This window comes from Homo sapiens, chromosome 22 (genome assembly GCF_000001405.40).
Source record: "Homo sapiens chromosome 22, GRCh38.p14 Primary Assembly".
NCBI classification, from domain to species: Eukaryota; Metazoa; Chordata; class Mammalia; order Primates; family Hominidae; genus Homo; species Homo sapiens.
The window spans coordinates 19236886-19251207 of NC_000022.11; the positions used below are offsets into that span (position 1 = coordinate 19236886).

The following is a 14322-nucleotide window of genomic DNA, read 5'->3' on the forward strand; positions in this document are numbered from 1 at the left end:
GGTAAGAGTAAAGAACTGAATTTCTATCTTACTCTTTAGATCAAAGTAAATTCCAGATGGGTCAAAGATTTTAAATAAAAAACAAGGACAATTAGGATAGGAATGAAAGAAAATATAGGTAAATGTTGTGATCATCTTCAGGTGCAGAATTAGTCTCAAAACATGATACCACTGCCACACAAAAATGCAGCACTTCCATAAGGTGCCACATATCACAAATTACGACTGGGAAAAATATTCAAAATACATCAGACACTTAGTACTCTACAAGTACAAAAAGCTCTTACGAATAAGGTAAAAATCCTGGAGTTGGGCACAGTGACACACACCTGTAACCCCAGCTGCTTGGGAGGCTGAGGCAGGAAGATCGCTCGAGGCCAGGAGTTCAAGACTGGCCTAGGCAACATAGCAAGACCCCATCTCTACTTTTTAAAAAAAGATCCCAATAGAAAAAAAATGCAAAGATTAGGAAAAGGCAATTAACCGGATACATATGAGTGGCTGATACATCAATTCTGCCTTGATGGTAACCAAGGGAAAGACATCACAACATGGGATGCTGTCCAGCTACCACCGGCAGCATCAGTAGGAATGTGAACTGGCCAGCATGGTCAGGAGAGTCTGTGATGAGAGTGTGCCCCTGACCCAGCAGTTTAATTTCTAGGAATTTATCCTCGGACTTTTAGACTAACATACAAAGATGTATGGAGCACAATGTTCCTTATAGTGTTTCTTGTAAATGTAAATACCAATCAACAGGGGATTGTTTAAATGAGTTGTAGCAAATCCACAGAACAGATGACACAGACAATAAAATACATACATTATGTTACTGGAACAGAATGATCTACAACATAGCTAGAGGAGTTTATACAGCAGCAAGGCTAGTGCAGAGCCATTTTCATAAGAGTCCATCTGTATAAATCTGCACAAATGTATGCATGTTAAGTTACTTCCAAAGGGGTAGCCAAATTATCAGCAGTGCTAGGATTTCAGGTGATATTTAATCCTGCTGTTACATTTATTGATATTATTAGAAATGTACAGATAACATATATTTTATGAGAACAAAAGAGTAAAAAGGAGAGTAGATTATATAATCTTACATATATAATGTGATGCCAATTTTGTTCAGAAAAGGTATAGATCTAAATTTTTTATAAAACAAATTGTAAGATTTTTTATTTTTATTCTTATTTATTTATTTATTTATTTTTTGGAAATGAAGTCTTGCTCCAGGCCGCGGTGCAGTGGCATGCAGTGGTGTGATCTTGCCTCACTGCACTCTCTGCCTCCTGGGTTCTAGAAATTCTCCTGCCTCAGCATCCCATGTAGCTGGGACTACAGGTGCACACCGCCATGCCCAGTTAATTTTTTATATTTTAGTAGAGACGGGGTTTCACCATGTTGCCCAGGCTGGCGTCGAACTCCTGAGCTCAGGCAATCTGCCCGCCTCGGCCTCCCAAAGTGCTAAGATGACAGGTGTGAGCCAACGCGCCCGGCCAAGATTTCTTATATATTTTACATCCAACTGGTTTATCTACAGAGGAATGTTTTCTGACTCTGTGCCTTTGACACTTCCACAACAATATTCTGCTCCTCAATAAGGAAAGCACACTTGATCCTGTCACGAACACACTTAGCACACACGGAACCACCACAGGCCCTGCTGACATGTGTTTCTGTTTTAGGGAACCTCACAAGAACTTCAGGTCTCATAGCACGAACTCCTCGAAGTCTGGCTAGGCACATGCCACATGCAGGTTCAGGTGTTTTCCCAACCTTCTTGATGTAAAGGTGAATAATTCTCCCACCAGGGGCTTGGGACTACCTAGTTTCACTAGAGGCTGCGTGTCAAAGGCTGGGCCATTCTGAATGCCAGCTCAAAGGACTGTCCCTGGGAGCTCTAGGCTCCCTCAATGGCAGCCAATTGTAAAGGAAATAAGTGTTTTATTCTTTTTTTTATTATTATAAGTTCTGGGTTACATGTGCAGAACGTGCAGTTTTGTTACACAGGTATACACGTGCCCTGGTGGTTTGTTGCACCCATTAACCCGTCACCTACATTAGGTATTTTATTCTTTAAATATTCTCATACCACAGTGAACATCTAATCTTTTATAATAAGAAGGAAAGAGCTGAGGACTTTGATGTGTGACTTGGCAACGTCTTCCTGCTGCCCTAACTCACCCTCATGCCGGGCATTCCTTTCTACGAACAGGGCTTTCCCAGCTCACACGCCAAAGCCTTAGGCCTCTAAATGGGTTTGAAAGCATCACAGTGGCAGGAGACAGCAGAAGCAGACTAAAAATGGCAGCCTCCTGTATCTTGGGAGGTGCTAGAGTAGATTTTAGGACATGAAGATGTTTAGAGAGCAGCACATTCGTACCTGCATAGCCACTGGAAAATCATTCTGTGCCTCTGGAGGAAAAAACACATCTACTGCTTTCTTTACAAAAGGTTGGTTTCCCGCTGCAGGCTGTCCAACTTCAATGATGTGCAACTAGAAGAGAGATTTTAGGTCAATCAAGGGGACCGCCTGTGGTGGTGGGCAAGTGCTAGTCAAGGCACAGAGGCAAGTGGAGCCTCAGCTCCACACACTGGATGATTAACGCTAAAAGTCACATTCAACCAAAGCAGAACAACCCCCTTGTCGGAGTGCCTGTGATTATCCAATAACCTGCTGCCCACCACCAAGCATGGCACAAAGGGCCAATGCCAGGCAGCCTGGAGCCTCAGTTCCAGCACAGTGGCAGAGTCACTTCCCCTCCCCGGGCCTGGATGCCGATGAAACAAAGGGCTCCAGTCAGAATCTGCTGTCCCTTCCAACTCTGCTCTCTGCCTTTCTGGGTATGGCCCAGACTCATACAAGCCTGTTAGTGCAAGATCTCATCACTGGAGGCGAAACTCACGAGACATCCTCACCATGGCACAGGCCTGAGGTTTTCAAGGTTGTGCTGGGCGGGGGTAAGAATCTGATGAGGGAGCCCATCCCTGCCTTATGAGAACAGCTCCAAGTTCCTGACCTATGCCAGTGCCTTCCCTATAACTTTCTTTTTCTTCTTTTTTTTTTTTTTTTTTAAGATGGAGTCTCGCTCTGTCGCTCAGGCTGGAGTGCAGTGGCGCGATCTCAGCTCATTGAAACCTCTGCCTCCCGGGTTCAAGCGATTCTCGTGCCTCAGCCTCCCAAGTAGCTGAGATTACAGATTACAGATGCATGCCACCACACCCGGCTAAACTTTGTATTTTTAGTAGAGATGGGGTTTCGCTATGTTGGCCAGGCTGGTCTCAAACTCCCGACCCCACCTCGGGTAATCCAACCCCACCTCGGCCTCCCAAAATGCTGGGATTACAGGCACGAGCCACCACGCCCAGCCACCATAACTTTCATCTAAAGAAAAAATATTATAACTAACACAAGTCCACAACAAAATCCAAAATGAAGGGTAAGAGACACAAAACAAGGGCGGGAGGCTGGGCTTAGAGGACACAGACAAGGGTGTCTGTGGAGGGGCAGTCTGGGTTTGCGGTCTGGGTTTGGCCGGGCAGAGAGAGGAGGGAAACACCAAAGGGGCTCAGATAAGGAGGGGAGCAGCACTGAGAGCCGGGCCAATGGGGGAGGCTGAGCGGCAAGCATGTGGGTGCTCCTGTGGGGACAGAAGTCTGTGGATGGGGAATAGAAAAGTCTTGCACTGGGAGCTTTAAGGCAGATAAAAGGTAGTTTAGGAAAATTATCTGGCTAGGCCTATTGGTAAGAAGGCGTGAAGCAGGTCTGAGGACCTAATAAATGGCTATTCTGTAACCCAAATGTGAGGTGAGAAAGGCTTAGTGTACCACAAAAGGGTAAGTCAGATGTGGGACTTGTTAAAGGTCAGACAGTGACGAGAGAATAGAATGGGGCTTGACTGCTATGGGTTCTTGCTCGGGAGCTGAGAAGGGTGACACTGCCAGCAGGAGCAGAGGCACAGAAAGGACACCAGGCTCTCAGGGCAGCAGCAGGAGGAGGTTGGCAGAAAAGAACTGTGTCCAGGCAAGCTCCGCCCCACATGTGGAGACAGCTGGCCAGTCCCAAAAGGACAGGTGAGTCCTGAAAGGAAGGTGCATGCCTGGGCACAGGCGGGGCGGGCACCCTCCCAGGACCCCACACCCACCCTGCAGCCGGGAGGACCGAGTCTGCCACAAGACACAGGGCCGCTCCAGGACAGGTACTGTCAGGAAACCGCATTTCCCAGGCTCTCTGGGTCACAGAAGACCTCCTGGTCCATCTCCAGCTCGGCTGGAGGGGCATGCCCACCAGAAAGCTAGGTGTAGAGAGAACCCCCAGCCCCTTCTCTTCTTGGGGCTGCCGTCTGTGTACAGAGCCCCGCTCTGGGAAGTGCTCTTCTCCACAGGGCACTCTGTGAGGCAGGCTCTGCTCCTCAGAGGGAGGCCTGTCGCTGCCCTGCTGCATCTGTAAAGGAGAGGTGTGCCTCACTCTGAGGGAATATGGGAGCAAGCTCTTTGAGCCACATAACTAAAGTCAGTGTCCTTCATCAGCAACAAGGCTGACACGTGACCCGAGTCCTTTTCCTTCTGGCTCTCAAATGAGGAGGGCATGAAGTATGTTACTCAACAGGAGGCCAAAGTATTCAGTGTATTTCAGATGAGGAAGTTTGTAAAGCCACATTCTAATTGAGAACTCCTCTGCCTTGGGGAATATTTCGGGGCTAACGAACAACCCAAAATTATGGTTTGAGAAAGTGTTTTTCACAAGACGACTGTCTTGAAGCAGCTCTCCAAGTGGCTGAGACCACAATGGCGGAACCCAAGGTCTCCCTGACATCACAAGCTCTTCTGTCTCCTCACCTCTGCCCATGGCAGCCCTGCCGAGCAGCCGCTGGCCATGTCCCTGAGCCTAATAAAACCCACTGGCTCCTGGGCACAGTCTCAATCTCTCTGGAGCCTCCCTGAGGCGCCTCCCAACCACCTGGGAAGAACCATGCTAATGGCAAGGATGGCACCACACTGGTGATTTCACAGTCATCTCCCCAAGAGCAGAAACTGTGCCTCATCTACCTTTTTTTTTTTTTTTTTTGGAGATGGAGTCTCGCTCTGTCGCCCAGGCTGGAGTGCAGTGGCGCGATCTCGGCTCACTGCAACCTCTGCCTCCTAGGTTCAAGCAATTCTCCTGCCTCAGCCTCCTGAGTAGCTGGGACTACAAGCGCACACAGCCAGGCCCGGCTAATTTTTTATATTTTAATAGAGATGGGGTTTCGCTGTATTGTCCAGGCTGGTGTAGAACTCCTGAGCTCAGGCAATCCACCCACCTCGGCCTCCCAAACTGCTAGGATTACAGGTGTGAGCTACCGCACCTGGCTGCCTCACTTACCTTTAGAGTGCATTTCAGTCTAGTCTGTGTGGAAGGATTTTTTTTTTTTCTTTTGAGACGGAGTCTCACTGTGTAGCCCAAGCAGGAGTGTAGTGGTGCGATCTCGACTCACTGCAACCTCTGCCTTGCAGGTCCCAGTTCAAGCAATTCTCCTACCTCAGCCTCCCAAGTAGCTGGGTTTATAAGAATGCGCCACCATGCCCAGTTAATGTTTGTATTTTTAGTAGAGACGGGGTTTCACCACGTTGGCCAGGCTGTTCTTGAACTCCTGACCTCGTGATCCACCCTCTTCGGCCTCCCAAAGTGTTGGATTACAGGCGTGAGCCACCGCGCCCAGCCTGAGGATTTTTTAGGGGAATGGGGCCACTTAATCATGTGCATCACGGTGCACAGTTCTCAACACCACCATGAACCTTTCCTCACACAGACATCTGCAGGCCATGCCCAGCCACACACACGCACACCCCTAACACCAGCTCATGACACTTTTCTCAGGGAGAAGACAGTAGAGTGGATCTTACCTTGCCTCCTGTGGGATTACGTACAGCAAAGCAGAAAAGGGTGGCAGGCTTGGCATTCCCCTCCATCTTGAACTCTGCAAAAGCCGCAGCATGGCCTTCTATGGGTTGTGAAACCTTCCTATCCACAGAGTAGAGCTGCATTGCTCCAACCACACGGTTTTGCTAAGAAAAGATATTATGCAATGAAAGGGAGAGAAAAGAGAGGAATATAAAGAAACAATTCTTAAAATATATTTCTAAAATGAAAGTCTCATACATTAGAGGTATACTTCCTCTAGTAAAAATTAAATGTATTAGCTATTAAAGGCATGATATCACTCTGAATTTTATGTGGAAAGATGGCAAACACTATGGAAAAAAATAAGACCACAAAAAAGTAAGATGGACAAACCTAATTTGTTAAATATAGTAAGTGTGAGAGCATTTTTTCATGGAAAGTAACTCGTGCACTTTGGAGGAAAAACTCTAAAGCATTAATAGTAGTTAAATCGGGGGATGCAATCACAGGTAATTTTGAAAATTGTGTTTTCTGAAATTTCTAAGTAGCAAAAATTGTATTTAATAAAAACCAATAAGGCCAGCACAGTGGCTCACACCTGCAATCCTAGCACCTTGGGAGAATCACTTGAGGCCGAGAGTTCAAGACTAGTCTGGGCAACATAGCAAGACGCCATCTCTACAAAAAAATAAGAAAATTAGCTGGTCATGGTGGCATGCGCCTGTTGTCTTAGCTACTCGGGAGGCCAAGGCAGGGGGATTGCTTGGGCCAAGAAGTTTGAGGTTGCAGTGAGCTATGACTGCAGCACTGCACTGCAGCCTGGGTGGCAGAGCAAGACTCTGTCTCCAAAAAAACCAAAACCCCCAAACCAGTAAGACTAATATCTTTTATAAAACTTAGAACTTGTATTTTCTTTCTTTCTTTCTTTTTTTTTTTTTTTTTTGTGATGGAGTCTTGCTCTGTCACCCAGGCTGGAGTGCAGTGGCGTGATCTCGGCTCACTGCAAGCTTCGCCTCCTGGGTTCACGCCATTCTCCTGCCTCAGCCTCCTGAGTAGCTGGGACTATAGGCGCCCGCCACCATGCCTGGCTAATTTTTTGTATTTTTAGTAGAGACGGGGTTTCACCATGTTGGCCAGGATGGTCTCGATATCCTGACGTCGTGATCTGCCTGCCTCAGCCTCCCAAAATGCTGGGATTACAGGCTTGAGCCACCATGCCCAGCCAGAACTTATATTTTCTACTAAAGAATTTCAGTACATTTATATCCAATGTCAAATGCTCAAAAAGCTAAGTGAATGGAATACAAAAGGGTCCCAGTTCAAGCTCCTGTAATTAAACATTCAATCCTCTCTGCTGAGTGAGCTCACATATAGTCGTGGGTAAAATCCTCAGTCTATTCCTCACTCACTCACAACTCCTTAAAATGGGATAACAAAGGCTTCAACTTTGTCTTTAAAAATATTTTCTATTGCACAGATTTCTGTTAACGTTATTAAGCAAAGTACTGACACATGCTACCACATGGATGAACCTTGAAAACATGCTAAGGAAAGAAGCCAGGCATGAAAGGCTGCATATTGTCTGATTCCACCTATGAAATATCCAGAAAAGGAAAATTTATTGAGACAGAAAATAGATTAGTGGTTGCCAAAGGCTGGTAATAGGGAGAAATAAGGAGTAAACCAGCAGATAAGTGGTCTGTGTTTTAACAGAAAAATGAGCATGGAAAGGTAAAAATGAGAATCCAAAGACAGGACAAAACTCACCCTCCCCAAGAGACTGTGGGAAGACTTCCAGCAACATGATGATAGCACATTTGAGTCCTAAAGGTACAGATACCTAAACGAAGCCTAAACTGCAGCCAAGACGAAGAGGCAGAGAAGACAGAACAGCCAAGGTGAAGGTGAGAGACCAGACCTTAGGCTACGTGTGTGGCCTTGGGCCGATGTCCTGCTTCTAAGTCTTAGGCACCTGCCAGGCTTACCTTCCCACCTCATGGGGCTGCTGAGTGTTAAGTGTGTCAAATTTTGGTAAAGGCATGTTAAGGACTGTAGCAGGCAAGGATTCAATGAGCAAATGCATTCATTGTGCCAGGCACCATGCTAGGGGCCAGGGATAAGTAAAATATGACACAGGTCCTTCTCTCAAGAACAGATGGTAAGAGTTTCCGGCAAGTACACAAGCAACTGCAATACAGAGTGCTGATTGCTACAGCATGGGAGAGAACAAGATGCCTTATCAGCTCACCAAGATCAGTAAGTCAGGGAGGCTTCCCAAAGTGACACCTAAGCTGGAGTAAGAGCTAACCAGGTGACAGGAACAGAAGTTGTTTCAAACAGAAACAGGCATCTGTATTTGCAAATGCTTAGACAGGGTTGGCAAACTATGGCCCCATGTTCCCCTCTCCCCCTCCTTTTTTTTTTTTTTTTTTTTTTTGAGACAGAGTCTGGCTCTCTCTCACCCAGGATGGAGTGCAGTGGCGTGACCTCGGCTCACCACAACCTCCACCTCCTGGGTTCAAACGATTCTCCTGCCTCAGCCTCCTGGGTAACTGGGACCACAGGCGCGTGCAAGCATGCCTGGCTAATTTTTGTCTTTTTAATAGAGAGGGGGTTTCAGTATGTTGGCCTGGCTGATCTCAAACTCCTGATCTCATGATCTGTCCACCTTGGCTTCCCAAAGTGCTGGGATTACAGGCGTAAGCCACCACACCTGGCTTCCCCTCCCCTTTTTATGTTGAGGTGACATTCACAAAACAAAATGAACCATTTTAAAGTGTATGATTGAATGGCATTTAGGACACTCGCAATGTGTGGAACCAAAACCTCATCATAGTTCCAAAACATTTTCATCACCCAAAAGAAATTCCTGTGCCCATTAGTCAGTCCCCAGTCCCCTGACCCAAGTCCCCTAGCAGCCACCAATCCTACTTTCTAGCTCCATAGATTTACTGATTCTAAATATTTCATATAAATGGAATAACAATAAAATATGAGGCCTTTTGTGCCTCACTTTTTTCATTTAGTAAGTTTTTGAGGTTTACCTATGTGTAGCATGTATCAGTACTTCATTTTTAGGGTTAAATAATGTCCCACTGTATGGATACACCACAACTTGTTTATCCACTCATTTGCTGGTGAACATTTGGGCTGTTTCTACCTTTTGGTTATTATAAAAAATGCTATTACGAATATCTGTGTAAAAGTTTTTGTGTGGATACATTTTCATTTCTCTTAGGTAGACACCTAACAGTGGAACTGCTGGGTCAAATGGTAATTCTGTGTTTAACTTTTTTTTATTTTTTGAGATGGAGTCTCCCTCTGTCATTTAGGCTGGAGTGCAGTGGTGCGATCTTGGCTCACTGCAAGCTCTGCCTCCCGGGTTCACGCAATTCTCCTGCCTCAGCCTCCCAAGTAGCTGGGACTACAGGCGCCTGCCACCATGCCCGGCTAGTTTTTTTGTATTTTTAGTAGAGACAGGGTTTCACCGTGTTAGCCAGGATGGTCTTGATCTCCTGACCTCGTGATCCACCTGCCTCAGCCTCCCAAAGTGCTGGGATTACAGGTGTGAGCCACCACGCCTGGCCTTATGTTTAACTTTTTGAGGAACCACCAAACTGCTTTCCACAGCATCTGAACATTTTTATATTCCTACCACTAATGTAGGAGGGTTCCAATTTCTCCATAACATTGCCAACACTTCTTTTCTTTTCTTTTTTTTGAGATGGAGTTTCGCTCTTGTTGCCCAGGCTGGAGTGCAATGGCGCGATCTCGGCTCACTTCAACCTCTGCCTTCCAGGTTCAAGCAATTCTCCTGCCTCAGCCTCCGGAGTAGCTGGGATTAAAGGCATGCACCACCACACCCGGCTAATTTTGTATTTTTACTAGAGATGGGGTTTCTCCATGTTGGTCAGGCTGGTCTCAAACTCCTGACCTCAGGGCCAACACTTATTTTCTACTTTGTAAAAATTATAACCATTCGAGTGGGTGTAAAGTGGTACTTCATTGTGGTTTTGAATTGCATTTTCCTAATGGCTAATGATGTCAAGCAAGTCATTTGCCCACTTTTTAACTGGGTTGACTTTTTGTTGTTGAGTTGTAAGTGTTCTTTGTATATCTGGATACTAGACCCTTATCAGATAGATGATTTTCAAATATTACATCCCAGGTTGTCTTTTCACTTTATTGGCAATATCCTTTTATGCACAAAAGTTTTTAATTCTGAAGTCCAAATTATCTATTTTTTAATTTTGTTGTTCAGGCTTTTGGTGCTATTATATATCTAAGAATCCATGCCAAATCCAAAGTCATAAAGCTTTCTCCTTATGTTTTCTTCTAAGAGTTTTGTAGTTTTACCTTCTACATTGAGGTTTCAGATCTATTTTGAGTTTATTTTTGTACATGGTGTGAGGCAGGTGACCAACTCCATTCTTTTGCATGTGGATATTTAGTTGTCCCAGCACCATTCCTGAAGAGACTATTGTTTCACCATTGAACAGTCTTGACACTCTCATCAAAAATCAATTGGCCACAGATGTAGGGGTGTATTCCTGGACCTTACATTTTTTCCCATTGGTCTACATGTCTATTCTTATGCCCATGAGGTGTTTTGTTGTTGGTAAATGCATGGGATTTTTTTATTTGTTGTTTTTTAGTTTGTCAGTAAAGCATATACATGTAACTATGATTTATAATTTTTGTTTTATATTCTTCAAACATGATGATTTCTTTGTAAAGAGGCATAATTCCCAAGAGTTTTTATTTTGTTGTTGTTGTTGTCATTTGTTTTGTTTTGTTTTGTTTTTGAGGCAGAGTTCCACTCTTGTTGCCCAGGCTGGAGTGCAATGGTGTGATCTCGGCTCACTGCAACCTCTGCATCCTGGGTTCAGGCGATTCTCCCGCCTCAGCCTCCCAAGTAGCTGGGATTACAGGCACATGCCACAACTCTCGGCTAATTTTTGTATTTTTAGTAAAGACGGGGTTTCACCACATTGGCCAGGCTGGTCTCGAACTCCTGACTTCAGGTGATCCTCCTGCCTTGGCCTCCCAAAGTGCTGGGATTAAAGGTGTGAGTCACCGTGCCTGGCCCCCAAGGGTATTTTTAAAAGCTTAATTGAGATATAATTCACATACCATAGAACTTATCTATTTAAAGCAAGCTTGTCCAACATGTGGCCCAGTATAGCCTTGTATGTGGCCCAAACACAAATTCATAAACTTTCTTAAAGCATTATGAACTTTTGGCTGGGCATGGTGGCTCACACCTGTAATCCCAGCACTTTGGGAGGCCGAGGCAGGCAGATCACCTGAGGTCAGGAGTTCGAGACCAGACTGACCAACATGGAGAAACCCCATCACTACTAAAAATACAAAATTAGCCAGGTGTGGTGGTGCATGCCTGTAGTCCCAGTTATTCAGGAAGGCTGAGGCAGTAGAATCGCTTGAACCCGGGAGGCGGAGGTTGCGGTGAGCCAAGACCATGCCACTGCACTCCAGCCTGGGCAACAAGAGCAAAACTCGGTCTCAAAAAAAAAAAATTATGAATTTTTTTGCAATTTTTGTTTTTAGCTCATCAGCTATTGCTAGTGTATTTTATGTGTGACCCAAGACAATTCTTCTTCCAGTGTGGCCCAGGGGATCCAAAAGATCAGACACCCCTGGTTTAAAGCATACCATCCAATGTTTCTTCGTATACTCAGAGGGCTGTGCAATCATCACTACAACATAGTTTTAGAACACTTTCATCCTTTGAAAGAAACCCTATTAGCATTCAATCCTCATTCCTATCTCCCAGACTCCACCTCCAGTCATAGGCAACTACTTATCTATTTTCTGTGTCTATAGGTCAGACTATCCTGAACATTTCAAATAAATGGAATCATATAGTATGTGGTCTTTTGTGACTGGCATCTTTCACTTAGCTTAATATTTCCAAGGTTCATTCATGATGTATTTTTAGTAGAGATGGGGTTTCGCCATGTTGGCCAGGCTGGTCTTGAAATCCTGACCACAGGGTGATCTGCCTGCCTCAGCCTCCCTCCCAAAGTGCTGGGATTACAGGCATGAGCCACTGTGCCTGGCCCTTCTAAGAGTTTTATAGGTTCAGTTCTTACATTTAGGTCTGATCGATTTTGAGTTTTTTAGTATTATGAGACAGAGGTCCCATTTAATGCTTCTGCATATAAATGTCCAGCGCCCCAAGACCTTGTATTGAACAACTCCTCTTTTTTTCACTGAACTGTCTTGGCAACCTTGTCAAAAATCAATTGACCACAAGGGATACAACACTTTGATTAGACTGGAGGAATAAGTTCAAATGATCATGCCTATAATCCCAGCACTCTGGGAGGCCGAAGCGGGCGGATTACTTGAGGTCAGGAGTTTGAGACCATCCTGGCTAACATGGTGAAACCCCATCTCTACTAAAAATACAAAAATTAGCAGTGCGTGGTGGCACGTGCCTATAATCCCAGCTACTCGGGAAGCTGAGGCAGGAGGATTGCTTGAACCCGGGAGGTGGAGGTTGCAGTGAGCCGAGATTGTGCCACTGCACTCCAGCCTCAGCGACAGAGCAAGACCCTGTCTCAAAAAATAAAAAAAATTAAAATTAAGAAATTAAAATTAATGAATTTTTAAAATATATATTTGCACTCTACTGATATTATTTTGATTCAGAGAAATATGTTCATAACTTATTAGAAATAACCTTGAGTAGTTTGAGACCAGCCTGGCCAACACGGTGAAACCCTGTCTCTACTAAAAACACAAAAAAAATTAGCCAGGCATGGTGGTGCACATCTATAATCCCAGCTACCTGGAAGGCTGAGATAGGAGAATCACTTGAACCCAGGAGGTGGAGGTTGCAGTGAGCCGAGATCGCACCATTGCACTCCAGCCTGGACAACAGAGCAAGGCTCTGTCTCAAAAGAAAAGAAAAAAAAAGAAATAACCTTGAGTAAATTTAAATTTATTTCTAAGTTGATGGTATGGCTAGGTTTTGATAATTTTTATTTGGTTTCCCTTCCCTTTAATCAGAAAATTAACTTTCATACCCTGTTCACAAACCATCAAAGCTGATTTTGAAACTTAAAAAAAAAATCGCCAGGTACCATGCAAAAGCAATCTTCCCTTTAGAATGACTGATGGTATGCTAAGGTTTTTCGTGGCATATTATTATTAAAGGTGAATACAAATAAATGGGCCGGGCGCGGTGGCTCACACCTGTAATCCCAGAACTTTGGGAGGCCGAGGTGGGCAGATCACTTGAGGTCAGGAGTTCAAGACCAGCCTGGCCAACATGATGAAACACTGTCTCTACTAAAAACGCAAAAATTAGCTGAGCATAGTGGCACACACCTGTAGTCCCAGCTACTCGGGTGGCTGAGGCAGGAGAATCACTTGAATCTGGAAGGTGGAGGTTGCAGTGAGCTGAGTTCGTGCCACTGCACTCCAGCCTGGGTGACAGAGTGAGACTCTGTCTCAGAAAAACAAAAAAAGAAAAGAAAGGAAAACAAAACCTGTTTTTTGGGCACATCACTTTTCTGGGACTCATCTGTTCTTTTTTTTTTTTTTTTTTTAATTTTAGAGACAGGGTCTTGTTCTATTGCCCAGGCTGGAATGCAAAGACATGATCATGGCTCACTGTAACCTTGAACTCCTGGGCTCAAGCAATTCTCCTGCCTGAGCCTCCCACGTAGCCAGGACTACAGGTGCATGCCACCACACCAAGCTAATTTGTTTGTCATCTATTCTCAAGTTAGTACCACATTCTATTTTTTTTAACTTTTTTAATTTTTTTTTAGACAAGGTCTCACTCTGTCACCCAGGCTGGAGTGTAGTGGTGCAATCTCAGTTCACTGTAACCTCCACCTCCCAGGCTCAAGCAATTCTCCCACCTCAGCCTCCAGAGTAGCTGGAACTACAGGTGCATGCCATCATGCCTGGCTAGTTTTTGCATTTTTTGTAAAAAATGGGTTTTGCCATGTTGCCTAGGCTGGTCTCGAACTCCTGGGCTCAGGTTATCCACCTTCCTCAACCTCCCAAAGTGCTGGGATTACAGGCATGAGTCACTGAGCCCAGCTAGTACCACATTCTGGATCACTGTAGGTTTGTGGCAAGTTTTAAAATTGGGAAGTATAAGTACTCCAACTTTTTATTTGTTTTATGGTTGTTTTGGCTATTCTGGGTTCCTTGCAATTCCACATAAATTTTAGGATCATCTTGCCAACTTCTACAAAGAAGCTAGCTGGTATTCCAATAGAGATTATGTTGAATTTGTAGACCAATTTGAGGAGTACTTCCATCCTAAAAGTATTAAATCTTCGAGTCCATGAACATGCAATATTTTTCGATTTAGATCTTCTTTAATTACTTCCAAACATGTTTTGTAGTTTTCAGAATGTAACTTTTGCACTTTTTAAATTAAATTTACCTCT

At 44.7% G+C, this 14322-nt stretch overlaps 1 protein-coding gene, 1 non-coding gene and 1 pseudogene across 21 annotated transcripts in view; 1 reads left to right on the forward strand and 2 right to left on the reverse strand.

The window, feature by feature from the left end:
• CLTCL1 (clathrin heavy chain like 1) overlaps positions 1-14322 on the reverse strand; it is a 112247-nt gene that overhangs the window by 57413 nt on the left and 40512 nt on the right. For 17 of the 20 annotated variants that reach the window (XM_047441518.1, XM_047441516.1, XM_047441513.1 and 14 more), the window contains 2 exons: positions 5890-6051; positions 2390-2503 (listed from right to left, as the gene is read on the reverse strand). In XM_047441518.1, coding sequence (XP_047297474.1) covers positions 2390-2503; positions 5890-6051 — 276 coding nt within the window. The remainder of the gene's footprint in view (positions 1-2389; positions 2504-5889; positions 6052-14322) is intronic. The other 3 variants (XM_047441517.1, XM_047441515.1, XM_017028954.3) reach the window with 1 other exon arrangement.
• Positions 1558-1854, reverse strand: RPL34P35 (ribosomal protein L34 pseudogene 35; annotated as a pseudogene).
• On the forward strand, positions 12955-13081 carry LOC124900485 (small nucleolar RNA SNORA15). Its single transcript, XR_007068175.1, has one exon. It is a non-coding gene; the product is annotated as a small nucleolar RNA SNORA15 (small nucleolar RNA).